Raw genomic sequence first — 24,656 nt, 5'->3', positions numbered from 1 at the left:
CCCAGGGTAAGATGTAGTAACAGCTAAATTCTACCAAGCATACAAAGAAGAACTAATACAAATCCTCCTGAAACTGTTCCAAAATATTGAGGAGGAGGGAATGCTCCCTAACTCATTCTATAAGGCCAGTATCACACTGATACCAAAACCAGACAAGGACACAACACAAAAAAGAAAACGATAAATCAATATTCCTGATGAACATAGACCACAGACACAAAAATCTCCAGCAAAATACTAGCAAATTGAGTCCAACAGCACATCAGGAAGATAATACACCATGATGAAGGGGGTTTTATGCCAGGGATGAAAGGATGGTTTAGTATATGCAACTTAATAAACATGATACATCACATAAACACAATTAAAGACAAAAATCATATAATCATCTCAATAGATGCAGATAAAGCAATGTGATAAAATTCAGCATTCCTTCATGACAAAACCCTCCATAAACCAGGCATAGAGGGAACATACCTCAAAATAATAGATGCCATCTATGACAAACCCACAGCCAACATCGTATCGAATGGGGAAAGAGCTGAAGGCATTTCCCGTAAGAATTAGAACAAGACAAGGATGCCCACTTTCACCACTCCTATTAAACATAGTACTGGAAGTCCTAACCACAGCAATCAGGCAAGAGAAATAAATGAAAGTCTTTCAAATAGGAAAAGAGGAAGTTAAATTATCTGTGTTCACATGATATGATCTTACATCTAGAAAGCCCTAAGAACTCCACCAAAAAAAATCTTAGATTGGATAAATGAATTCAGCAGTTTCGGGATACAAAATCAAGGTACAAAAATCCATAGCATTTCTAAACACTAATAATGATATAGCTGAGAACCAAATGAAGAAGGCAATTCCATTTATAACAGATACAAAAACAGTACCTAGAAATGTATTTAACCAAGGAGGTAAAAGAGCTCCATAAGGAAAACTACAAAACACTGATGAAAGAAATTATAGATGACACAAAGGTAAAAACATTACATGCTCATGGATTGGAAGAATTAATATTGGTAAAATGACCATGGTGCCCAAAGGAATCTACAGATTCAATGCAACCCCTATCAAAATACCAATTTCATTTTTCACAGAATTAGAACAATCCTAAAATTCACATGCAACACAAAAATCCAAATAACCAAAGTAATCCTAAGCAAAAAGAACAAAGCTGGAGGGATTACATCATCTGACTTCAAATTATATCACAAGGCTATAGTAACCAAAACATCAATGGTACTGGTATAAAATGAGACACAAAGATCAATGGTACAGAAAAGAGAACCCAGAAATAGACCCACATACAGCTAACTGATCTTGGACAAAACTGACAAGAACATACACTGGGGAAAGTATGCTTATTACCTGTGTGACAAAAAAATCTGTACACCAAACCTCCATGACACACAATTTACCCATGTAACAATCCTGCACATGTAGCCCTTGAACCTAAAAGTTGGAAGAAAAAAAAGTGGGCTAAGGACATGAGTAGGCATTTTTCAAAAGAAGACAAACAAATGGCCAAGAAGAATATGAAAAAATGCTCATCATCATTAATCATTAGAGAAATGTAAATTAAAGCCAACAATCAGAATGGCCATTAGAAAGACAGAAAACAAGAGATGTTGGTGTGGATATGGAGAAAAATGAATGGTTATACACTGTTGGTGGGAATGTAAATTAACACAACCTCTATGGAAAACAGAATGGTTTCTCAGGTAACTAAAAATAGAACTACCTTTTGATCCAGCAGTCCTACTACCTGGTATCTACACAAAAGAATAGAAATCATTAAATCAAAAAGATACCTCCACTCCTATGTTTATTGCAGCACTGTTTACAATAGCAAAGATGTGGATTCAACCGAAGTGTCCATTGATGGATGACTGGATCAAGAAAATGTGGTATATATGCACAATGAAATACTATCCAGACAGAAAAAAGAATGAAATCCTGTCTTTTACAGCAACAAGATATAACTGGAGGCCCTTATCTTAAGAGAAACAACTCAGGCACAGAAAAACAAATACCATATGTTCTCACTTATATGTGGGAGCTAAATAACGCGTACACATGGAGGTAGAGCGTGGAGTGATAGACACGGAAGACTCAGAAGCATGGTGGAGGTATCAGAGGGACATGGATAATGAGAAATTACTTAATGGGTACAATGTACAGTATTCCAATGATAGGTAGTACACTAGTCACCACTACACAATATACCCATGTAACAAAATATACTTGTACTCCATAAATTTTTACAAATAAAAATAATCAGAAAAAAATTTATATTTCTAATTGACTACATTCAGGTTTAAATACATACATCTAAGAACTGAATAAATTTAAATGAAATTATTAGTGATTTTGACTAAAAATTTTCTTGCATATATATACACATATATATGTATATATATGCATACTATCTATGTCAGCCTTTAGGACGTTCTTTGGAATTGTTTAGGTACAGCTCTAGAGAACCGCTTAGCCCAGTGACAGCATTACCCTGGTAGAAAGTCACTGAGTATGTCCACTCTTAGAGGAAATAATTTTGGCCTTTAGCAATTCATAGACTTCATCTTTTTCAGCCACACTTATTACAATGATCTTTTTTTAAAAAAATTATTTTTAAAATTGTGGCAAAATACATGCCATTTTACCTCTTTTACTCCTAAATTTTGAAATAAAGTGTTCCTGAACCTCTTTCAGGCCAGAAACATTCTTCTGATTTAATATCTAGTATCAAACCTCCCTCCCTTTCTTCCCAGTAATATTTATACTTGATTAACTCTTTGGCAATTTTTGCTGGAAATTTTTATATAAGCTTTGGTTAGTTACTACATTTCCATCACGGTTTTGAATTCTGTATCCTATGTGCCATATTTTGAAGGCCTGATAATTTGGGCTTTCACTGTAAATCAAGCACAACAAATAAATGCTTGGTGCCATATGTAGGCCATGAGATAAACTGTTATTGTCACAAGTCAACTATTTTCTGCTCCAAAGACAGCCATTAGGCATTTCTTCCCATAGTAAATGCTTTTATTCAACCAGTTCTATTCTGTACTTCATAGGCTGCTCAAGAAAAAGAAGAACTTCAAAGGGAAGGTGACTGTTTGGATGCCAAGATCAACAAAGCTGAAAAAGAAATCTACGCTCTAGAAAATACCCTTCAAGTGCTGAACAGCTGTAACAACAATTATAAGCAATCTTTTAAAAAAGTGACTCCATCTAGTATGTAGGAGTTAACTTTTTTTTATACATATATACAGTGACGAGTGTATAGTTAAAAGGAACACTGTGAGACATGAGGAAGAACAAAAGCAAACTATGTTAGATTGGGTCAGAAAAACTAATCCCTTTTCTTTCCTCCCCCCACGACATTTTTTTTTCTAAGTGGTTTTCTAGGGTGTTACTTCCATTATTAGTTCAGGATCTGTATGGCATATCACCTCTCTAGGGTAATTAATTCAAAGACTGAAAAAAAATGGCAGCATATTGCTGCTCTATGTTGACAAAACAAGAAATGGCTACTACATGCCCATAGTGTTTTTCTACAAGTGGATATAAAAAATTTAAACTTTCATAACAAAAATATTGGTGCAATTTACATAATACTTTAAAATTGATTTCTACTTAGTATGTTGAAATTTTAAACTAAAAATGTTCTACATTTCAGGTGATGAGTATGAGCTAAAAATTCAACTAGAAGAACAAAAAAGAGCTGTTGATGAAAAATACAGATACAAACAAAGACAAATCAGAGAACTTCAAGAAGACATCCAGGTAAATTCTACAGGCATTTTTAGTAATATGCCTTCAATAAAAGTCAACTATCATTACTGCTACTTCTATTCTCTTGCTCTTCCACCAAGAAGACAGTTATTTAGAATCTCTTTTAGGGAAGTAGATAGTAAGAGATAACAGTCTCATTTAAAGGAGACAAAAACAAGTGCTCAGAGTCTTAGGTAAATTAGTTAAAATCCTAGTGGTAAGCCCTGATGATTACTTGTTATTAGTTGGTAGGTCATAGTTATTATGATCTACCCATTAATCCTTTAATGAACTTTAATTTCTTAAAGATCACATTAAGATTGCTCCTTAAAACAAAATAGTTTGAAAGAAAAAATAATAATCTAGTAGAAAGTACTTACTAAGGCAAATCACTGAAAGATAAAAGAATGTGCATTGTCTATTCACAATAGCAAAGACTTGGAACCAACCCAAATGTCCAACAATGATAGACTGGATTAAGAAAATGTGGCACATATACACCATGGAATACTATGCAGCCATAAAAAAGGATGAGTTCATATCCTTTGTAGGGACATGGATGAAGCTGGAAACCATCATTCTCAGCAAACTAATGCAAGGACAAAAAACCAAACACCTCATATTCTCACTCGTAGGTGGGAATTGAACAGTGAGAACACGTGGACCCAGGAAGGGGATCATCACACACTGGGGCCTGTTGTGGGGTGGGGAGAGGGGGAAGGGATAGCATTAGGAGATATACCTAATGTTAAATGACAAGTTAATGGGTGCAGCACACCAACATGGCACATGTATACATATGCAACAAAGCTGCATGTTGTGCACATGTACCCTAAAACTTAAAGTATAATTAAAAAAAAAAGTGCCTTGTAAGCAGGCGCTAAACATTGATTTTACTAATAAAGCAGAAGAGATACTGTGAATCTTTGCAGATTCCATGATTTCAATTGTCATTGTTTTATTTTTTCCAAAATAACATAAAAATACTTTCCAGTTGAATTACATAAAAAATTTAATCCATAAAACCATTATACAGTCATGCATTGGATAACAATGGGAATGTGTTCTGATGAATGCATCCTTGGGCGATTTTGTCACTGTGTGAACATCATAAGAGTGTACTTACACAAACCTAGATGGTATAGCCTATTGTTCCTAGGCTATAAGCTTGTAAAGTGTGTTACTGTACTGAGTACTATAGGCAACTGTAACACAGTGGTACTTGTGTATCTAAACAAATCTAAACATAGAAAAGGTACAATAAAAATATGGTATAATGGATTAAAAAAATGGTACACCTGTACAGGGCACTTACCATAAATGGAGCTTGCGGGACTGGAAGCTGCTCTGGGTGAGTGACTGAGTGAGTGAGTGGTGAGAGAATGTGAAGGCCTAATTGCTGAACACTACTGTAGACATGATAAATAATGTACACCTAGGCTACAGTAAATTCATAAAAATAATTTTATTTCTCCAATAATAAATTGACCTTAGCTTCCTAGAGCTTTTTAACTTTAAACATTTTTAATTTTGTAAAATTTTTTTACTCTTTTGTGATGACATTTAGCTTAAGCACTCATTGTTCAACTGCACAAAAATATTCTTTATATCCTTATTCTCTAAGCATTTTTCTATTTTTAGTTTTTTTACTTTTTAATTTTTTTGTTAAAAACTAAGACACATACACACACATAAACCTAAGCCTACCCGTGGTCAGGATCATCAATACCACTGTCTTCCACCTCCATATCTTGTCCCACTTGAAGGTCTTCAGGGTCAGTAACATGAATGGAGCTGTCATCTATGATAACAATGCCCTCTTCTGGAATATCTCCTGAAGGACCTGCCTGAGGCTGTTTTATAGTTAACTTTTTAAATAAATAGGAGTACACTGTAAAATAATAAAAGTATATTGTATAGTAAATACATAAATCAGTAATATCTTTTATTATCACTATCAAGTATTATGCACTGTACATAATTGTATGTGCTAGACTTTTATATGACTGGCAATGCAGGTTTGTTTACACCAGCCATCACCACAAACTCATGACTAATGTATTGTGCCACATTACAATGTCGCTAGGTAACAGGAATTTTTCAGCTCCATTATAATCCTATGGGACCACCATCATATATACAGTCCATCATTGACCGAGATGTCATTAAGAGGTACATCAACAGAAATAATGTATATTATGTACAAAAATAAATGAATTAAAATTAAATGAATACTTGATAAATGACAAGTTATAAAAGTCAATTTCTGATTCTAAAAAATACATGTTAATATTTTTTCTACAGAGCATGGAAAATACATTAGATGTTATAGAACATTTGGCAAATAATGTTAAAGAAAAGTTATCAGAGAAGCAGGCTTATTCATTTCAACTAAGTAAAGAAACGGAGGAGCAGAAGCCAAAATTAGAAAGAGTGACCAAACAGGTATCGATATCTTTTAAAAACTGACCTTTCATATTTACATTTTTGAAGTCCCAAATCCTCCTTCATCTATTAAAAATATTAAATTCTGGTAAACACGTTTATAGAATAATTGACTATTATTTACCAACAGTGTGCAAAACTCACAAAGGAAATCCGTCTTTTGAAAGACACAAAAGATGAAACAATGGAAGAACAAGACATCAAACTTCGTGAAATGAAACAGTTTCACAAAGTTATTGATGAAATGTTAGTTGATATCATAGAAGAAAATACTGAGATCCGTATTATCCTTCAAACATACTTTCAACAGGTAATACAGCACCTTCTATTAAATATTTCTTAAAAACTTCATGAAAATAAAAACTTTCATGACATTCATCATGAAGTGAAAGCTAATTAAAAATATTTATCTTCTAAAAAACAGTAGGTAGTACTAATGATTGCTATTGAATATTCCTCCAGAGTGGGTTAGAACTACCTACAGCTAGCACAAAAGGCAGTCGTCAGAGCTCTAGATCTCCTTCACATACTTCACTATCAGCAAGGTAAGCGGAGGGTTAAAAAAAAATCTGCTTAACTCTCACAGCTGTACACTAAGTGATTCCAGCCACTTCTACATCACCGCAGCTGTTAGGCAGGCCCATGCACTCACTGCCAGTGTTCTTTTCACTGTCAGACATCTCACTAGTCAGCATCATATAGATTAGATGCAGAAACAGCCAGCAGAACAAGAATTTCCTTCTGACTTCTGCTGGTGTCACTATTTCCAGTATAGCCCAAGTGCTCTGTGACTATGAGCTATTTCAGTAGGATAAAACAGAAATAAATTTGGGGGCTACATCTAGCATTTGGGGGTGAACCCCCAAGTTGGGGGAATTTTTTTAAAAACATGTAAGGGCAGCTTAGATGTACAGACATATAGAATATGATTTTTGTGATTCAAACCACACTGTGGTATTTTACATAATCAGGATTTGACTTTATGAAGCTTTATTTTGCTAAAAAGGAAACCCCTTTTTTTTTCTTCTGCAGTTGTTACCCAGAATTCTATCACCAGATGCTTAAGCAAACATTCTTGTGCTTTGCTGACAAAAATTTATTAATAATGATCCTGATTTTAGAATTCACAATCTCCTGCATTCAGCAGCTACTTATTAAATTACTATTCCTTAGTCCAGGTAAAAATTTCATGAAGAGGCCCCTAAAAAAAGTGTTTCATTTAAGTATAAAAAACTGTTTCTATATAACTGAACATCCCTGTACTTTCATAAAATATATATTTAAAACTTTTTTCAGAATTATATAGCTAGCTGTTTTTCAAATGACCCCACCACTTTATCCATCAATATGCTTCTCTCTTCTCTTCAGCTTAAATTACAAAAGGTATCATTTTAATTATTTTTGCCAGCACCAAATCCTCTTGGCCCTATTTCCTCTGTTTTGGAAACTTTCAATGCTTAATGATTCCAACTCTAAAAAACTGATTATAGTTCAAAGCATTTTTACCATGTAGGAACATACTTATTAAACTACTTTTCTACTGGTTTGAAACTCATCTATGTTCATCTTTCCTTTCCTGTTTAAATTGTTTGATATCTATTGATGGTCATTTAAAAACTTAACACTATTAATATGTACTTTTTTGATGTCTTTACTTATGGAATTATGGTACCTTTTGCCAATAATGAGAGGGTCTATACTAAAATATAAACTTTGCATTGAATTTATAATTCTGGTTTTTCTTCTAGGTCATCTAGGAGTACAAGTACATCTACTTCTCAGTCTTCAATTAAAGTACTGGAGCTTAAATTCCCGGCCTCCTCTTCACTAGTAGGCAGCCCTTCTAGGCCATCTAGTGCTAGTAGTAGCTCTAGTAATGTTAAGAGCAAAAAGAGCAGCAAATAAACATTTTAATCTCTTCTGAAAAAGTTGTAAACACAAAAACAAAAATATACTTTAAAATACAAAACGACCCAACACATTTTATCTAGTGGAAAGTGTAAAAACTTAGTGGTAAGTGTAAAAACTGATAGTTTTAAAAAAAAAGGAACGTTCTCATTTTCTCTACTGTTTTCTTCATACTGAAGAAATTAATAGCAGATTCTTGACAAGGCTACATGTTATACAAGCATAGGAAAAATGCTGTATTTCACTGTAATTCTGATGTTCGTAGTGTTAGAAAATAGTTTGCTTCATTATTTCACGAAACTACACTCACTTCTAATGTAACAATCTTTCAAGAAGAAATTTCTAAAGATTTACTGTACTATTATGAGCGTATTGCAATGTGAAAATCTCATTTACCCTACAAGACACCAAAATTAGGTTTTCTTTATTCAAAGTAACTATTTCTCAGACTTTTGGGGAGAAAAATTGTTAAAGGCAGTTTCTTCTTTTGCTATAATTTTTAACCAAAAAATAGCATCAACCCCTACCCACCCCACCCCCCCAAAAAAAAACCGGTAAGAGAAACACTGTATATCAATTTTAAAATGCAGCATAAATTTAGAAAAATCACTTCTGACCTTGAAATAAATCACTTCTGACCTTGAAATAAACGCATTAAAGATTTGCTTTCAGATACAGCCAACCAAGTATAAACAATTTTGAAATTTTCTTGATTTAATAAACGATTTAATGAAAGCTAGGTATGACTTGATTTGCAATAGAAATTTCATTTACAGTTGGAGGTAGACTGCCAAATGTAGTAGTTTTTCCAGTTAACACTTCATTATAACATGTGCCCAACACTTTGTACTCTTGGAATAGAGTGTGGAATATTATAAAACTGGATTTTAAATAAATGTATTAGAATTCACGAATGTACATGTGTCTCCTTCAAACCTTGGGAAAAAATGCTCATTACAACTGTCATTATTTTAGAACTGTTGTTTGTACTTCTTTCTGAAAAGCAGTAGTGGTAGTGAATAGTTCTCCTGATTATTTTTTGTTTTGTTTTAGAAATAGGAAAAAGGCATAGCAAAGTCAAGAATAAGGTGGGCGAAAAAAAAGGTAGGTAATAAAATTTTTGGCTAAAGTACTGCTCTAATGCATGAGATTTATAAGACCTAAAAACTAATTAAAGTCACTTTGCTCATCAAAGTTCTTATTCTCAGCCCTGTGCTAGTTTGGGAATTACTTAAAACTTGAAGTAATATTAAACACTCTTCTATGAAGGTAGAGGTTGTATCTTACTAGCTCTGTAACCTTGGATAGTTACTTCCCTGTTTTCCTCATTTGTACTATAGACACAGAAAGTTACCTACAAGTTTACCGAATTTGATAATATAAAAAAGATGCACAGGGCTTGACACACAGAAATTGCACTATATAACTTCTACTTACTGAGTTGCCACCTGGAGCTTAGCACAGAATTTGTGGAATGGTTTGGTTCTTGGGCCAGCATACGAATCTACATTTAATCCTTAAATAACAGTTCTAACAACTTCAGTGTAGTAATGACAAATGGTGCGACAGGGGATCAACCTATCTCCAAATCTGGACACTTATCCTCATATCCAAAAGTCATGCTTCATCTGCTTATGGAGACCAAGATATGGCAATATATGATCTTGAGAAAAATTACTGAAGATGTCGCTATTCTTGACAATGTAAATCCCCAATAATTTTTGCTGTGATGAACTTCCTTAGAAATTGGTTTGTATACTCTGCTTAATATGGCATAAACTGCAATTACTTTTGCGCCTACCTAATAAATTCAGGCAGCCTACAGGATAAGGTACTATTCTCTTACATTGAATGGGGTGTAATAGCCATTCTGACTGATGAGAGATATCTCATTTGGTTTTAATTTGCATTTCTCTAATTAGTGATGTTGAGTATTATTTCATACGCTTCTTGGCCATTTTTATCTCTTCTTTTGAAAAATACCTATTCATGTTTTCTGCTCACTTTTGGATAGGGTGATTTGGTTTGCTGAATTCCTTGTAAATTCTGGATGAGTCCCCTGCCTGATGCATAGTTTGCACATTTTGTCCCATTCTGCAGGTTGTCTGTTCACTGTGTTATTTCTTTTGCTGTGCAAGAACTTCGTAGCTTACTTAAGTCCCATTTTGTTTTTGTTGTGTTTAAGACACCAGTCTGGCTGTCACCCAAGTTGGAGTGCAGTGGCACAATCAGAGCTCACTGCAGCCTCGAACTCCTGGGCTCAAGCGATCCTCCCGCATAGCTGGGACTATAGGCATGCACCACCACACCCAACTTATTTGGATGGAGTCATGCTGCGTTGCCCAGGCCAGTCTCAAATTTCTAGCCTCAAGCAATCCTCCTCCCTCAGCCTCAAGTGCTGGGATTACAGGCATGAGTGACTGTACTCAGCCCCTCTTGCTTCCACTTTTGAGGTCTGAATCATGAATTCTGCCTACGCCAATGCTGGTAGGTTGGCAGGGGGGTAAGGGATGATAAATTATGAAATGGGTACAATGTACATCATTTGGGTGATGGTTACACTAGAAGCCCAGACTTCACCACTACACGATAGATCCATGTAACAAAAATGCATGTGTACCCCTTAAATTTATATGAATTAATTAAGGAAAAAAAAATTTTTTAAATGTTGTGTTTAAAATTTTAAGCTGAACTAGGGATTCCAAAAGGTCAAAGGCTATGTATGCCAAGAAGTAGTTTTCACTCTTTCTTTATAAACACGACTTTGTAAAGATGATACTGGAGCTATTAATACATAGAATTATTAAGGACTCTTTTTAAGATGAATTTCTTAAAGAAGCTTCTTCTTGGTGCAAAGACTAATGCTTTGAGTGACTAGCCGATTTCTATCACCATTATCTATTGCTCTTGACCAGGGTTTCTTTTCACTGTTCCATTTGCAAAAGAAATTTCAGATTTTTCACTAGGCTCTCATTACTGGAGTTTGATAGACACAGATAATACACACCCAGTACTTAAGGCCTGGACATTTTACTGTTGGCAAGAACTGCAAGACAGAACAAGGAATAAGTCTCTTCTTCCTCTATTATTCTCCCTCACTTAGACCTCTGTAGATCCTCAGCTACCCACCCACTTATCTAGTGTCATTGTGTGTGACAGTATCTAAAGTCCATTGTAATTTACAGCTTTGAGAATCTTAAACTGCAAACTCTAATGACATCATAAACCCAGTACCTATGACTCCTATCTCTATCTGTCTCCCAAAGAATATACCACACTATTTTCAGCAATTTGGGGAGGATCTTTATAATCCAAGTCTCTTTGTTCTTCAGCTCTAGCTGCTGGAATTTATTATTCTTAGTAAAACCAGGCTCTAGTTGGTCTAGTTATTTATTCAGACTCTGAGAAAGGGGTCATCAGAGAAGCATCAAGGCACAGGAGGTGGTAAGAAGAAATGCAGGTCAGATTTAACGACATGCCTAGTGCCTTCTGGACTGAACATCTGCTACACTAGGAGAGTCTCCCAATTTTCTTTCCCTAAAGAAAAGCCAGATTTACAATGTGCTTCTCTGCTACTGCTATGTTTTTGCTAAAAGGATTTTTTTCTTTTCTGATTTACCCTTGCGTGGAATACAGGCCCTAAGGGCCTTGTAAATATTTAAAGTTAAAAAGCTTTTTATGGCTATGCTAGCAATGAGGTAAAAAATAATGGAGAAATAAGCAAAATGGGCTCCTATTCAACTTTTATGATCTTATTCCTAAGGCACTTATGCTGGGTGGAAGCCAATGACTGTTCACAAACCACTTTTAATCAAATTGGGCTTTAGAGGAAAATTAAGACATATAATCTACCATTTAAAAATTTTAAAAAAAATTGGGCAAAAAATGTAATATTTAAACTGATAAATATAAAAGTGTTCAAGAAACATTCGAACATATAATCTTTCAAAAGCTGACGATTTTTAATTTAACAGAAAAGAAAATGAAATTAATTTTTATAAAAATGATCCAAGTGTTCAATGCACAAATTTTTCTCTCAAACAGCAGAATAAGATGCACCCAGGAATTCTCATATACCGCAATAGAATGAAGAAACAGTACTTTCAGAGAATTATCTTTAGGTGAAGAAATTCAAACTGTCAAGAGTAATATACTGTACATAAACATATACATAAAAAGTCTAAAAACCAAGCTGTGACAAGGGACCTAGAACTGAAACAAAATTTGAGAAAAACTTACTTAAAAGCATTTGTTTCCTGTAATCTCTACAAATAATTTTAGAAGCAGAGATTTCTGCACTCAACTGTTATGACTAATACAACCAAAAACTTCACTTAATGGCATTTTGTGTAATGGTGCCGATATCCTTGGTGTATTAATTTTTTGACTTATTTCCTTTTTCTTTTTCAAATTCAGCTATCTGATTAAATATATTCAGTAAATTCTGAGGTAAATTTTTCTTAACACTGCTTTCTGAGTGTTCTTTGCTACTTAGTGCATCTTCTTCTGGAACCTCTGTTTTGATATCCTCCCCATAATTGTCCTCTCTTTCATATTCTCCTTGATTTGTATTTAAACGGTATCTTTGCTCATGTCTACTGAAATCACGTGATCCAGAGTGAGCGTATTTTTTGTATTTCTCAACTGACTTCCAAGAGTATTCTGAGCTTGCTGGTGAGGTAGAATGCCTCACAGAACCTGGTTCCCACCTTCTATAGTGCTCTTTTCTTCCCTCTATATCCTTTTCAAATCTCCTATAACCATAAATCTTGTCCTCTGAATTCCTACAGAAGGAATCTGAGGAATTTCTTCTACTGGAAAAATGTCTTTCTGATTTATATGGCTTTTCTGTTTTGCTACTACCTGCTTGGGTTTTATAGCTGTTATAAAAATCTCTTGGATCTTCAGACCTACCTCCAAAATCATCCGGTATTTCAAGTGAAGATGAAGAGAGAGGGCATCTATCTTTCTCTTTTATCTGTGTCTTTTCATACTGTAACCTATCCTGCTTCCCCAGTAGTTTCTCCACTTCTTGTTTATGGTTAAGAAAAGATGCTGAAGTATTAGCTGGAACTGGGTAGCACTCATCTTTCCTATTCTGATCTATCTGATTTGAGGATGCCCTAGATGAATGCCTTCTGGAACTGCGAGAAGACTCTGAACGGTTCCTCTTATGTTTCTTATGCCTTTTGTGACCAGAAGAGGAAGAGGATGATGATGAAGACACTGATTCATCAGCAGAAGAAACACTTGAAGAAGAAGTTGATTTTCTTCTTTTCTTCTTTAGCCTAAAAAAAACAGTTCATTTGTCATATATATACAAAAATGTTTCTAAATTATTCATAAAGATGTGGGCCCTATTTGTTTCCTTTAAAGATTTTATAAAAGCTGTGGTTCAGATAAATGATACAATAATCTCGGCTACTACAAGATCTAATTTTACTATTAAGCACTTTTGGGGGAAAAAATGCTTGCAGACAGGTATCATTGTAAGCAAATCCATCATCTCTGAAAGACAGACTTTTTTCAACACTACCTTAAAAACTTAAGACTACTGAACACATAAAGGAGAACTCAACTTTTTTATTTGGCTACCTCTAGTTCATGGTTTCTTCACCTGATTATTGGTATTTTCAGCCAAATAATTCTTGGTAGGGGGTGGGGGTGCGGGTGGGAGCTGACCTGTGCATTACAGAATGTTTAAGAGCATCCCTGACCATTATACACTAGATGCAGTAGCACCCTATCAGTTATGGCAATCAAAAATGTCTCCACATCTTGTCAAATGTCCCCGGGTGAATAAATCCACCCCTAGTTGAGAACCACTGCTCTAGTTCTAAAATATTTCTTCCTAAAACATAATTAAAGTAACTTATTCTATATTTTAATTCTAAGATACTCTTTTTTTGTAGAATTCTAGCCTTAAATTCCACTTCATCTCTTTAATAAGAAAATACATGGAACACATATTTGCTAAAGATTCTTAACAGTCACTGATTGGCACTTGAAATACTTTCATATTTTTATTTACTTTACCTCCAGTATGGCACTTTGGGTTCAATTCAGTAGTTGCCTTAAGTTTAAAAATACTGAATATTATAGTTTACCTCTTCTCTTCTTTTAAGAGCTTACGCAACTTTTCTGCACTTGTTTCTATTTTCTTTGTTTTCTGCTTTTCTTCCTTTTCAGCTTGTTTTTCTCTTAATTCCAAAGATTTCTTTTAGAACCCAGATATCGAAAAAAACCACACGTTAAAAATAGCAGAATATATAAAACCCAGTATTCAAAAGACCACCCCCAACGAGAAACCCAATTTAGTAAAACCAAATCACCATAGAGCCAGCATTAAACAGTATTTTTTTAACATAAAAAAATTAGTCATACAGATGTTTGGCATTAGTCATTGAAATGGCCAGAACAGCATTGAGGACCATATTGCAGTTGGTATCCCATAAAAAAAGGGGAAGCCATTGCAGTGGTACCCATGACCCAGAGTGCAAGAAAGGTTAAAAAAAAAAAAAAAGTACATAAAAATTATTTTTAAAGATTGAAAAATTTAAACAGGACACATTTTACAAATAAAATTCAAATAAAGACATTCCGTTAAGGTGAAGTGAAGGAGGAATCACCATGTTCAAATACAAACCATTTAAAAAAATAGCACAGCCCAGTTGGATGCATGATTACATAGGAAATCATTTTCCAGTTTGTGGATGGGGATGAGCAGCACCAGATGTCACAGACACAGCAGCAATGGTCCAATTCAGAAGAAAATGCATGAGAAAACATCATCATCAGTATTACAGGAAAAGACAATTTAAAATATGTCTCAAAAAGGTTTTTATAATTAGCTCAATTATAGTAGCAACAATAATTTAAAAACCACCAGGTGAGCTCCCTATAAGGACATTTCTCAAAACAACATACCAAATTTAGGTAATAGTTTTCTCACAGCTATCTTTACTTTCGATTATGGACAAAAACAGAGGCACTATGAAGCAATGTCAAACCCAATTAGGAAAAACTATACCTAAAAAGAAACTTTTCATAATGCCTTACTTAAGTAATGTAGAATAGTTTTCCTCAGGAGAAAATTAAGTTTGGGCATTATTTCAAATATCACTAAATTTCTAAGAGGAAATAAGGAATCACCTGCATATATTTATGAAGTTTCTGCAAAGCATCCTCTGCATCTTTAAAAGTCTCATCCAAAGCCAAAGCTTTCTTATAGTAACTTTCAGCATTTAAAAACTTTTCTTCTTCTTCTAACCTAAATTTGAAAGAAAGATTTAGCTTTTTTGTAAAAACAACAAAACTATCCAAATATGCATACAGGTCAAAGGCTTATATGAGAGAGCTTATTAGGGAAAAGCCAAGTAAATTATTTTCCAAAATAAAATACCAAAATAATATGCTTTTTACTGTAATTTATTTCATAGACCACATAAACAGAAATCTTACTAGTAACTAAAGGTATATGTCCAATATTGGCACATTTTTGCAGTAATACACAAAAACCCATGATAAATGGGTGTCCACAAATTTAGTATGATCTTGAATTTTAGCACAGAATTATACCAGCAGGCTTTTTTCCCTAGTAGTTTATGAAAAATTATCTACAGAAAATTTTGGAAATCTTTGGAAATACCAACATACACATATATCACAATGAGCCTGTAAATAGCATAATCATTAGATGAATTTCACAAGTCTGGGTTGTGAAACACCAGAATGAGAAAGTTTGGACATAAAGCAGTCAAAAGATGTTGCAAAGTGCTTTGGGTTCTTAGAAGGAAAAAGAAATTACTATAAAACAAATACAATGGGATCACTTTTGTGTCAGTAGACTGGATATGGGAAACAAAGGACAAGTCAAAGATGAACAGTATCTCTGGCTTAGGTAACTACAGGGTATTGCTATTCACTCAGCTCAAAGACATCAATACAAGGCTATAAGACAACCACATATAAGTAGTTACTAGTTATCCACCTAGTAAGTATGTAAAAAGCTGCTCCAATCATTAAATAGAAGTTCCTATAAATTATAAACGAATATTGCAAAATTTAATCAACTTGGAATTTGTGATCACAAACAGGAATGACTACACAAATAGTATAGTCATTAAACCAAAAACTTTTGAGTATATTATCTAGGAAAAGAGTATTTGCCTAATCTCTTGTACTTTCCCATTTATTTATTGAAACCAAGAGTGTTATAAATTAAGTGCTTAAGAAACTATTTCCTTAAGTTCAAAATTTTTTAGTGGTTGGTTGAACATTAGACCTCCACTATTAAACAAAATCTGATACTTACTGTCCTCCTCTCTCTACAAGTGTCTGGCAGAGGTATTTTCTTGCATTTCTGTGAGTTGGACAGTTTTCTAATGCAAGCTCAAAATCTTCTATTGCTTTGTTCAAACTTCCTTTTGTCGCATATCTAGAGACATGAAACAAAGATAGAGGGCTGTATCTCACAAGCTCTTCATAAATCTTGTTCGCATTTACCTGGTAAACATTCCTTAAAATCCATGTATGATTCACTTACAATGCTCCACGAGCTACCAAAGCTTCCACGTTTTGTTTGTCTATTTCCAAAGCTTTATTGTATTCATTCATAGCATCCACATGGCGTCCAACTTTAAAATAGTCAACTCCGATCTTCACACTAAAAAAGACATTTGTAAAGCATCACAAACACTTCAAACAATATCTAAATAAAATGTTAGTGTGAATAAGTTTTAAAAGCAAATGTCATCAAACTTGGCAAAATATTTAGTTTTCAGAGTACTCACAATATACCTAAGGAACGTTCTTCTGCCTTTGGACATTTTCACAACAAATATTGGTGAAACCTAGATATCAATATACTAATTCCTTTTGAGAAAACTGAAATGCTGAGTAAAACTTATCTGTTAAGTGTAAAATGTAAGACTACTTACATCTATAAAAGAAAAGCTCATGTCAAAAAGGCATCACTTTAATGCATCTCAAATTTGTCTTATTGATGATATAAGCATGCTTGCCTTGCCCTAAGCTTTTAGACTAGATATAATGCAATTGTTGAAAGACAGTCTTCATACCATTTTAAAGCCCAAGATGCGGATTGTTTTTTTCTCAATGCAGAAGCAAAATCATCTTCAGAGAAATTTTTGCTATTAAAGAAAATAAAAATTAAAAAGTTAAACCACAAATATTTTTTAAGTAACTATACTTAACTCTGCTTGACAGGCACTCGACAGTGAAAGTATGAATCCCAAGCAAGAAATCTGCATTCTATTTACATACCAAAATCTTTGAACTTTCGAAATGATTATTATTGTTAAACAGTATTTTTCTTGGCCAGGTGCGGTGGCTCACGCCTGTAATCCCAACACTTTGGGAGGTCGAGGCGGGTGGATCACGAGGTCAGGAGATTGAGACCATCCTGGCTAACACGGTGAAACCCCAACTCTACTAAAAATCAAAGAAAAAAAAATTAGCCAGGCGTGGTGGCGGGCACCTGTAGTCCCAGCTACTTGGGAGGCTGAGGCAGGAGAATGGCGTGAACCCAGGGGCAGAGCTTGCAGTGAGCTGAGATAGCGCCACTGCACTCCAGCCTGGGTGACACAGTGAGACTCCGACTCAAAAAACAAAAACAAAAAACAAAAAAACCCAGTATTTTTCTTTAGCATACACACAAAATTCTTATAAAAAGTTTCTGCATCCTTCTCTACTTGGTTACATGGTACACATATTAATCACTGATAAGACAGTCCAGTCCAGAAGATGGGATCACCTGGTTCATTCAACCTTTGGCATATGCCTGCTACTAGGTGGCTTAGGATGGTAAAATACGTCCTTCAGCTAAACGCAGCTTCTGAGCTTACTGCCACTCCCCTCACCATCTAAGAGTAATACTGATGTACTATACCTTTGTAGGCCTCTCATTAAAGATGGTGGATTAGATTCATCTATTCCTAGTTTTTCTAGAAGGAATTCAACTACTCCTGGATTAACAAATCCCAAGGAACTCTGCATGACATTTTCATAGGACTCCAAAGAATTGCTATTTAGCTCAACACTTCTCCTTAAAAAAATACAAACACAAAAATTGTAAAATGACTAATTTGACATTCCATTTCTAGTAAAGAAATAATATCATTTGAGGTTTAAATACTAATTCCATTTTTTGCATAAGATGGTGTGGCAATATTATGATATGGTTTCCTTTTACCAAGTCTGAAGTAATTTAACCGTTATAAAAATGTGGTATTCCTCAATCCAAGAGACTTTTGTAATGAACTGTTGTTGAAATAATACGGATAAATTACCTGTAGTATAAAGGAAGCTCTTCAGAGCTAATTACACCTAATTTAATACCAGATAGGTGTGGTGGAAGAGAAGAGCTATACAGAGATACTGCTAGCTTTTCATGGTATCTGTCAATATCCTTGATTCCAGCTTAAGAAAAAAAAAAAGAGAACTAAGCTGATTAGTAAGAAAATGTAAACTAACATAAAAAATATAAACTTTCCCAAACACTACCCTCTTAGACTGTATTTTTTTAAATTAATAAAAACAAAAATTCAACAATCATTACTTTTTTATTAGTATGATGAAACTAATCACCTCGAATGATGTCACCAGTTTGGTAATATGATAAAGGATCCCCATGGTTACTGTGAGAAGGCACATCTCTTAAGGGACAAAGAGCCTGTAATGAGAAGTATTTTAAAACACCAGACATTTCAAGCTTTGATAAGAACAGTGTCTTCTTTTATCTTAGTTGTTTGGTATGAAACAGCTAGTAGTTGAACAACCTAAAGTAAAAATTTAAATAAGGATTTAGTTAAAAGTAATTTCCGTGTCCAAACACAGTAAAATATGTTTGCTGGTTCAGTTAAAAAACTAAAATCTCATGAAACTTTCCATTAGTTTAGGAACCAAATATGATGGCTTATGACAGTATACAACATGCATCAAAAACAAACTAAAATTTGTCTAAAAGGTATAAGGATTCCAGTGAAAATGAAATGCCAATTCTCCAAAGTATTTTGTCTGTTATCCAATCTGTAATACCTTCTGCTTTTCTTCCTTTTTATCTGCCTGGATAGATGGCAAATACCCAATCTTTTATCGTGACACATTAGTTTAAATTCAGGACTATCCATCTTGGGCAAAGTATCTTAATATAATGTACAAACCACTTACATTTAATTATTGTAAATATATAAATGAAACTTCTCTCCAAATTATCCACATGAAAATATACAATGCCAAATATTAACTAATTAAGAATACATATGTTCAACTACAAGAAATAAGTCTGAATATCAATCAACCTCACCACGTCCACTGATACCTCTTTGAGCATTTAGAAAAGAACACTGTGCCTGCCAACCAGTTTAAATTTAAAAAATCCCAAAAACCAGAAATGGAGGGAGAAACTGGGTAACTTACACTAATTTTTTTAAACTATTTTTCTCCAATTAACATTTAATTTCCAAAAGCATCTTGGCAGGTATACTTGAGCACAACTGCATGCAAAGATATAGTTCTTGCATTGAGATGCGTTAACAAAAACAGAAGCAATCCAAGTAACAAAAATAACTTACTGTGATTTCTAAGTGGGCTATATCTCTCATGATACCACTTCCTAAACAGATCAACACCATGAAAAAACCGAATTCCCGAATAGAACTAATTCTTCCAATCACTATATCACCACGCTCAATATCTCGGAAAAACAGCTCTCTCCGATCCATACTAGGTATCTCCATGAATTGCTCTAAAGGTGGCATGATTGCATAATGATCTAAAAAAAAAAAATTAACAAAATCACTAACGATAGTTTTGAGTTCCGTTTCACCTGAAGTACTGTTAAACCGAACCGCAATCTTAAAGATTTTAAGGCTAAACTGACCTTCACTGTCTTCATTAATTTCAGAAGTTGCAGGTGCATCTGATTTCCAGGAAAGTGCAAAAAGCAGATCCGCTTTTTTGGAGATGAATTTCTGTATCTCGATGTTGTCAACTCTCTTCTCTTTTCTTAAAAAGAAAAAAATATATATGAAAATTGGGTTATCTGCAAAGCCTCTTTACTTCTAACCTTCTGCTTATGGCTTTCATCGCCCATTCCGCTCCATCCTAAGCTGCAGACAATACAACCTCAGACAAAAAGTTTTAACTAGGCATTCCCTCATTAACCAACCTGGAGGTGGAGAGCGGGGAAACTTAAAAAGTGACGCCTCCAACTCAGATAGGAAAGCTCAAGGGATTTTTAGCTAAGGAATCTGCGCCTCTACCAAGCAGTGCCAGAGAAAAAGTTCAGCCCGCATCCCGCATTGCACAACCCAGGAGCGCCCCCCGTCCACCCAGCCCAAGACACCAGCGCGCGATCGTCCTGTGCTCACGGCCGCGGCTCCACTTCCTCTAGACGCAAACCCGGGGCTGCGGTAGTGGCTGCCAGAGCTGCGTCCCCTCTTCCGTGGCGCAGTGGCACCAACGTCTCATTACCTGCCCTGCAACGGGTGCTGGGGCGGCGGGCCCCGGGCTGGCTCGGCGGCCGACCCCAGGAGGCTACGGAAGTGTGGATTGTCCTGCTGTTCGCTCCGAAGTAGAGAGAGCAAAGACGACCCGTGGCAATTTAGCGACTGCCGCAAAAGGTCCCGGTCCATGGCTAGAGAATGCAGGGCCCGGAGGCCGACGGGCTGATAGTTCCCTGTTCCGTGTCCGCTACTTGAGCCGGGTGGTACAGGAAGCGGAAGAAACTGTCTGGAGGCTGCCGGAAGTACACAGACAGCACAACCAGTTACACCCGGAAGTGTTCTGGGGTCGCCCCCACGGCGGCGCGGCGGAGCTCAGCCTCGATCTCGCGAAACCGAGCGAGACTACGGAAGGCCGAAGGATTGGGCTCAGCATTGCTTGGGCTAAAGGCTGACTAGGGCTTCCAGGAAGTGATGTATGTGAGAAGTTTGCTTTTTAAAGTGTACGTGGGATCGTTATTACGTCGAAATAGCTCGAGCTGTAACCTAGGGTAAATAATAATTCCTTTTCGTATTCATCAAGGTGCTTCTAAGTGCCAGTGCCAGGGTAAGAACCCTATACGAGTCTCCAAGCTTCTTCCCTCGACGTACTCTCTGCGTAAATCAATACCTGTGTCTCTGGCGTAACCCCATTCAACCGGCTGCTCCGGGAAGGTTTCCAGGTGGTTTTAAGGGCAGAAGAAAGGAAGGACACGGACATTTGTTAAGCACCTGGAGTGGTGTTCTCCATCCATACCCCATTTACTGTTAGTGATTGTGAATTCTAAAACCAGGATGGCTTTAATGTCTCCACACGTGCATATGCCATTCAAGTTTTACAATAACTAATGAACACATGCATTTCTTATTTAGTTTATCTCAATGGTTGCTCAAAATTTAGTGTCTGTGGGACTTACTGTATAGTGGTATGTACGCAAAAGTCAATATACTGTTCTTATGGACAATTCAAGTGATTTTCAAAGGGAATTTCAACTTAGGTCCCCCATCCCCTTACTTACTGACTTGAGAACCTAACCACTATGGTAGCTATTGTACTTTTTCATTTTAGAAAACGAGGAAACATGCTCAGAGAGTCCCAGTAAATTGCTCAATGGCACACAGCTAGTAAGAGGCTAGAGTTAGGATTCCAAACGAAGTATTAATTGGTCTTCTCAGGCAGAGTTGCTGGATTGAGTATTTTATCATATGGAAGGTCTAACTAACCCTAATTTTGAGATCATGTAGCTTCGTTTTATTCCAGTATAAAATTTGTACCATTTAAATATGTTCAGTGTAAATAGTTCAGTATAGTCCTCTTGAACAGAAATAAACGGTGACAGTTAGTCTCTCCACTTCCCACCATGTGTCTTTGAGGAAATCAACTTGCCTTTCACTGTGTTACCACTTTTGTATAGGAGATCTAGCCCAGAACATAATCGATACTGCCACACTGTTTTGTGGAAAACCCAGGCAAATAGGTAAACAGTTTGAGACTTGAGAAAATGCAACAAACAAGAATGCAACTGTAAAAGATAAATTTGGGTTAGGCACGGTGGCTCACACCTGTAATCCCAGTACTTTGGGAGGCCGAGGGTGGATCACTTGAGGTCAGGAGTTCAGAGACCAGCTTGGCCACCATGGCCTAACCCCGTCTCTACTAAAAATACAAAAATTAGCCGAGCGTGGTGGCTCATGCCTGTAGTCCCAGCTACTCGGGAGGCTGAGGCACGAGAATCTCTTGAACTCCGGAGGCGGGGGTTGTAATGAACTGAGATCGCGCCACGGCAGTCCAGCTTGGGCGCCGGAGGGAGACTCCGTCTCAATAAATAAATAAATAAATAAATTTCAAGCTTCTATAGGCATATCAACTTTAATAAATGGTACAGACTGACTTGTTTTAAGCCATAACTCTAGAGAATGGTTGTTTTTAGGAAAGAGTGCTGTCACTGAAAAGGAAAGCTGACCACTAAAAATTATTATAGACATCTTGATAAGTATGTGATTTGTGTTAGAGTCAATCTGTGATCAAGGACCTCATTTTTTGGAGGGACTAAGAAACCGGTGTCTGAGAACCAGACACCAAATAGTGTTACTTAGCCTGGGAATGTCACCTTCTGAGGCCATTCTTCAGTAGCACATGGTTTTATCACTATGGGATCTGTCTATACTTCTTCCTAATTCCAACACTAGGATAACCCTCCCCCACCTCATACCTTGAACATCTGAAATGGCCGTGAACATAGAAAGCAGCTCCTTTTAGGGGGTAAACAGCATTTATCAAGAGTGATATTTTTCGTATAGTAGTGACAGAAGAAATGCACTTTAAGCAAATGTACTCAAAACTCAGCGTGGGATTTTCTGTCTTTGGTTAGTTCCTTATGTGAAAGTAGCCACATTAGTTGGGTGCCGAAGGCAGTCTTATTCTTTACTTCCGGAATACTACTCCCATTGCAGAGGATAAAGCCTTTTACAATTACAGGTGTATTTGAGTTCATTTTCTTTTGAGACAGACACCCCTTTGACTTTGAAGGGGACAGGGCACTGGATCTTTGACATGGGATTGGAGGGAGTGAGGAAAGGAAATGGGACTAGGTTTGCTTCTCATTTTAGAAAAACTAGTCCCACATGTGGGGCCTCTCAAGTGGGCGACGAAGAAAATACTGTTTTTCTTTTTTACTTCTTGCCTTACCTTAAAAAAATCTTTTTCGAGAAACTTTTCCAGATTAAGCAACATAAATAACTAAATGAATATGTTGAGGAGAGGGACAGGGGAAAGTGTGGGATGGGGTTGGGGGAAGAAGGCAGGACATCTAAAGCAGTCAGATCTTTGATGTCTGGTTCCTGTGCCTATTTTTATTGTAAATGTTAAATTCAATTTCTAAATAAACACATATGTACATTATTTAATAAACACTCTAGACCCTAGAGATATAAAGGTGAAGAAAATAACTCTGGTTCTTGAGTGGCTCACAGTGCAACACAGGATTAGACATAAGAAGAAACAAATATGGCACAGTGGTAAGTGCTATTGTGGACACCTACTAGGGTGTCTGCATAGATTCCTCTTCTCTGTGAAGTGAGGTAGTGGGAGTTGCTGGGGGTAAGAGGAGAGAGGGGGAGGCAACTATGTGCAGTCCAGGCACAGAGGGCAATATGATTAAAGAAGTAGAGGTGTGAAAAAGCAAGATACATTCTGGAGACAGCAAGTGTGAAATGGAGGTAGGTAGGGATATTTTAATTATAGACATTTGGTTATGTAAGCGTGTCATTTCAGGTAGGCTATAGATTGGTGGGAAGAAACCCCTGGTGCCTCTCTGTGGGTACAACACACATACATACACCCACACACACAGAGTAAATTCCTGATTTCTTTAGCAAAGAACACAGAAACTTAGGTGAAACAAGGTAGCCACATAAAGAAGTGGGAGAAGCAGCATATCTCATTGTAGCTTTTCTTGGATCTCCCAAGTTTCCACAAATAACTTCTGCAGCTAGTGACATAATCTGCAAAAGATAAAGTCTTTTTTTTACATCTCGGAAACGTTTATAACCAATTGTTAAGAATCTACAAATAATCCATGACTTTATGAGAAATATTTATAGATAGATTGTTTCTGGTTCTTGATCCTGATGCCAACAGTTTCAACAAGGCCTCACCTTTAGCTGGGGTTAAGGTTGGAGTGTGTGTGTCAGGGATGGTGGGTACCAAATAAGGTCCTAGAAATCTATTATGATACTTCTAACTTTAATTTTTCAGTATCTTTTAAAGGCTCTCTTCTTTTTAGAAAAAATGGACTTTATTTTTTAGAGCAATTCTGGGTTAAAAGCAAAAGTGAGGAGAAAGTAAAAAGTTTCCCATGTATCCCCTGCCCCCACATATGCATAGCCTCCCTCATTATCAATATCCCCCACCTGAGTGGTACATTTGTTAAATTGATGAACCTACACTGACACCTCTCTATCATCCAACGTCCATAGTTTATCTTAGGTTTCATTCTTGGTGTCATATATTCTGTG

General features: G+C 36.0%; 2 protein-coding genes and 1 long non-coding RNA gene across 13 annotated transcripts in view, besides 2 other annotated features; 2 read left to right on the top strand and 1 right to left on the bottom strand.

The window, feature by feature from the left end:
- CCDC39 (coiled-coil domain 39 molecular ruler complex subunit) overlaps positions 1–9,046 on the top strand; it is a 65,482-nt gene extending 56,436 nt beyond the window's left edge. Inside the window, exons 15-20 of the mRNA NM_181426.2 lie at positions 3,084–3,243; positions 3,689–3,795; positions 6,088–6,228; positions 6,359–6,538; positions 6,691–6,773; positions 7,977–9,046. Coding sequence (NP_852091.1) covers positions 3,084–3,243; positions 3,689–3,795; positions 6,088–6,228; positions 6,359–6,538; positions 6,691–6,773; positions 7,977–8,133 — 828 coding nt within the window. The 3' untranslated portion in view covers positions 8,134–9,046. The remainder of the gene's footprint in view (positions 1–3,083; positions 3,244–3,688; positions 3,796–6,087; positions 6,229–6,358; positions 6,539–6,690; positions 6,774–7,976) is intronic.
- Positions 4,725–20,891, bottom strand: TTC14 (tetratricopeptide repeat domain 14). 7 transcript variants are annotated; one of them, NM_001288582.2, is made up of 13 exons: positions 20,632–20,891; positions 20,039–20,163; positions 19,731–19,930; positions 18,745–18,829; positions 18,447–18,576; positions 18,047–18,202; positions 17,217–17,288; positions 16,682–16,801; positions 16,451–16,573; positions 15,289–15,406; positions 14,244–14,353; positions 13,051–13,424; positions 4,725–5,674 (listed from the first exon to the last, which is right to left on the bottom strand). In NM_001288582.2, exons 1-13 carry the CDS (start codon positions 20,790–20,792, stop codon positions 5,487–5,489), a joined length of 1,962 nt encoding a protein of 653 aa, NP_001275511.1. In that variant the 5' UTR covers positions 20,793–20,891; the 3' UTR covers positions 4,725–5,486. The 7 variants fall into 7 exon arrangements, with proteins under 7 accessions (NP_001275511.1, NP_597719.1, XP_016861228.1 ...); NM_133462.4 differs by lacking the exon at positions 4,725–5,674 and having other exon boundaries at positions 11,924–13,424; XM_017005739.3 differs by lacking the exons at positions 4,725–5,674; positions 18,047–18,202 and having other exon boundaries at positions 11,924–13,424.
- Positions 17,308–17,563: a silencer, noted in NCBI's record as "fragment chr3:180323279-180323534 (GRCh37/hg19 assembly coordinates)". NCBI's record gives its function as "represses an EF-1alpha promoter that drives an FKBP-Casp9 reporter gene in an ReSE screen in phorbol 12-myristate 13-acetate-treated (for megakaryocytic differentiation) K562 erythroleukemia cells {active_cell/tissue: K562(+PMA)}" and the evidence as "EXISTENCE:reporter gene assay evidence [ECO:0000049][PMID:32094911]".
- Positions 20,811–21,100: an enhancer, noted in NCBI's record as "active region_20875". NCBI's record gives its function as "activates an Ori minimal core promoter by ATAC-STARR-seq in GM12878 lymphoblastoid cells {active_cell/tissue: GM12878}" and the evidence as "EXISTENCE:reporter gene assay evidence [ECO:0000049][PMID:35858748]".
- Positions 20,941–24,656, top strand: part of TTC14-DT (TTC14 divergent transcript) — a 121,249-nt gene continuing 117,533 nt past the window's right edge. For 3 of the 5 annotated variants that reach the window (NR_183700.1, NR_183704.1, NR_183703.1), the window contains exon 1: positions 20,941–21,151. This is a non-coding gene — a long non-coding RNA (TTC14 divergent transcript). Of the gene's footprint in view, positions 21,208–24,656 lie in introns of all 5 variants that reach the window. The other 2 variants (NR_183701.1, NR_183702.1) reach the window with 2 other exon arrangements.

Source organism: Homo sapiens, chromosome 3 (genome assembly GCF_000001405.40).
Source record: "Homo sapiens chromosome 3, GRCh38.p14 Primary Assembly".
NCBI lineage: Eukaryota > Metazoa > Chordata > Mammalia > Primates > Hominidae > Homo > Homo sapiens.
The sequence above is the reverse complement of the archived record's forward strand: the minus strand, read 5'-3'. Positions and strand labels throughout refer to the sequence as shown.

What these genes read in the sequence shown, in the direction of transcription:
- TTC14 (NM_133462.4), bottom strand. Translation starts at nt 20,792, where the DNA reads ATGGACCGGGACCTTTTGCGGCAGTCGCTAAATTGCCACGGGTCGTCT. An exon ending in AATTAATGAAGACAGTGAAG is followed by an intron (nt 19,931 to 20,038) that starts GTCAGTTTAGCC and finishes TTTTTTTTTTAG; the next exon opens with ATCATTATGCAATCATGCCA. An exon ending in AACTGGTGACATCATTCGAG is followed by an intron (nt 18,577 to 18,744) that starts GTGATTAGTTTC and finishes TTTTTTCTTAAG; the next exon opens with CTGGAATCAAGGATATTGAC.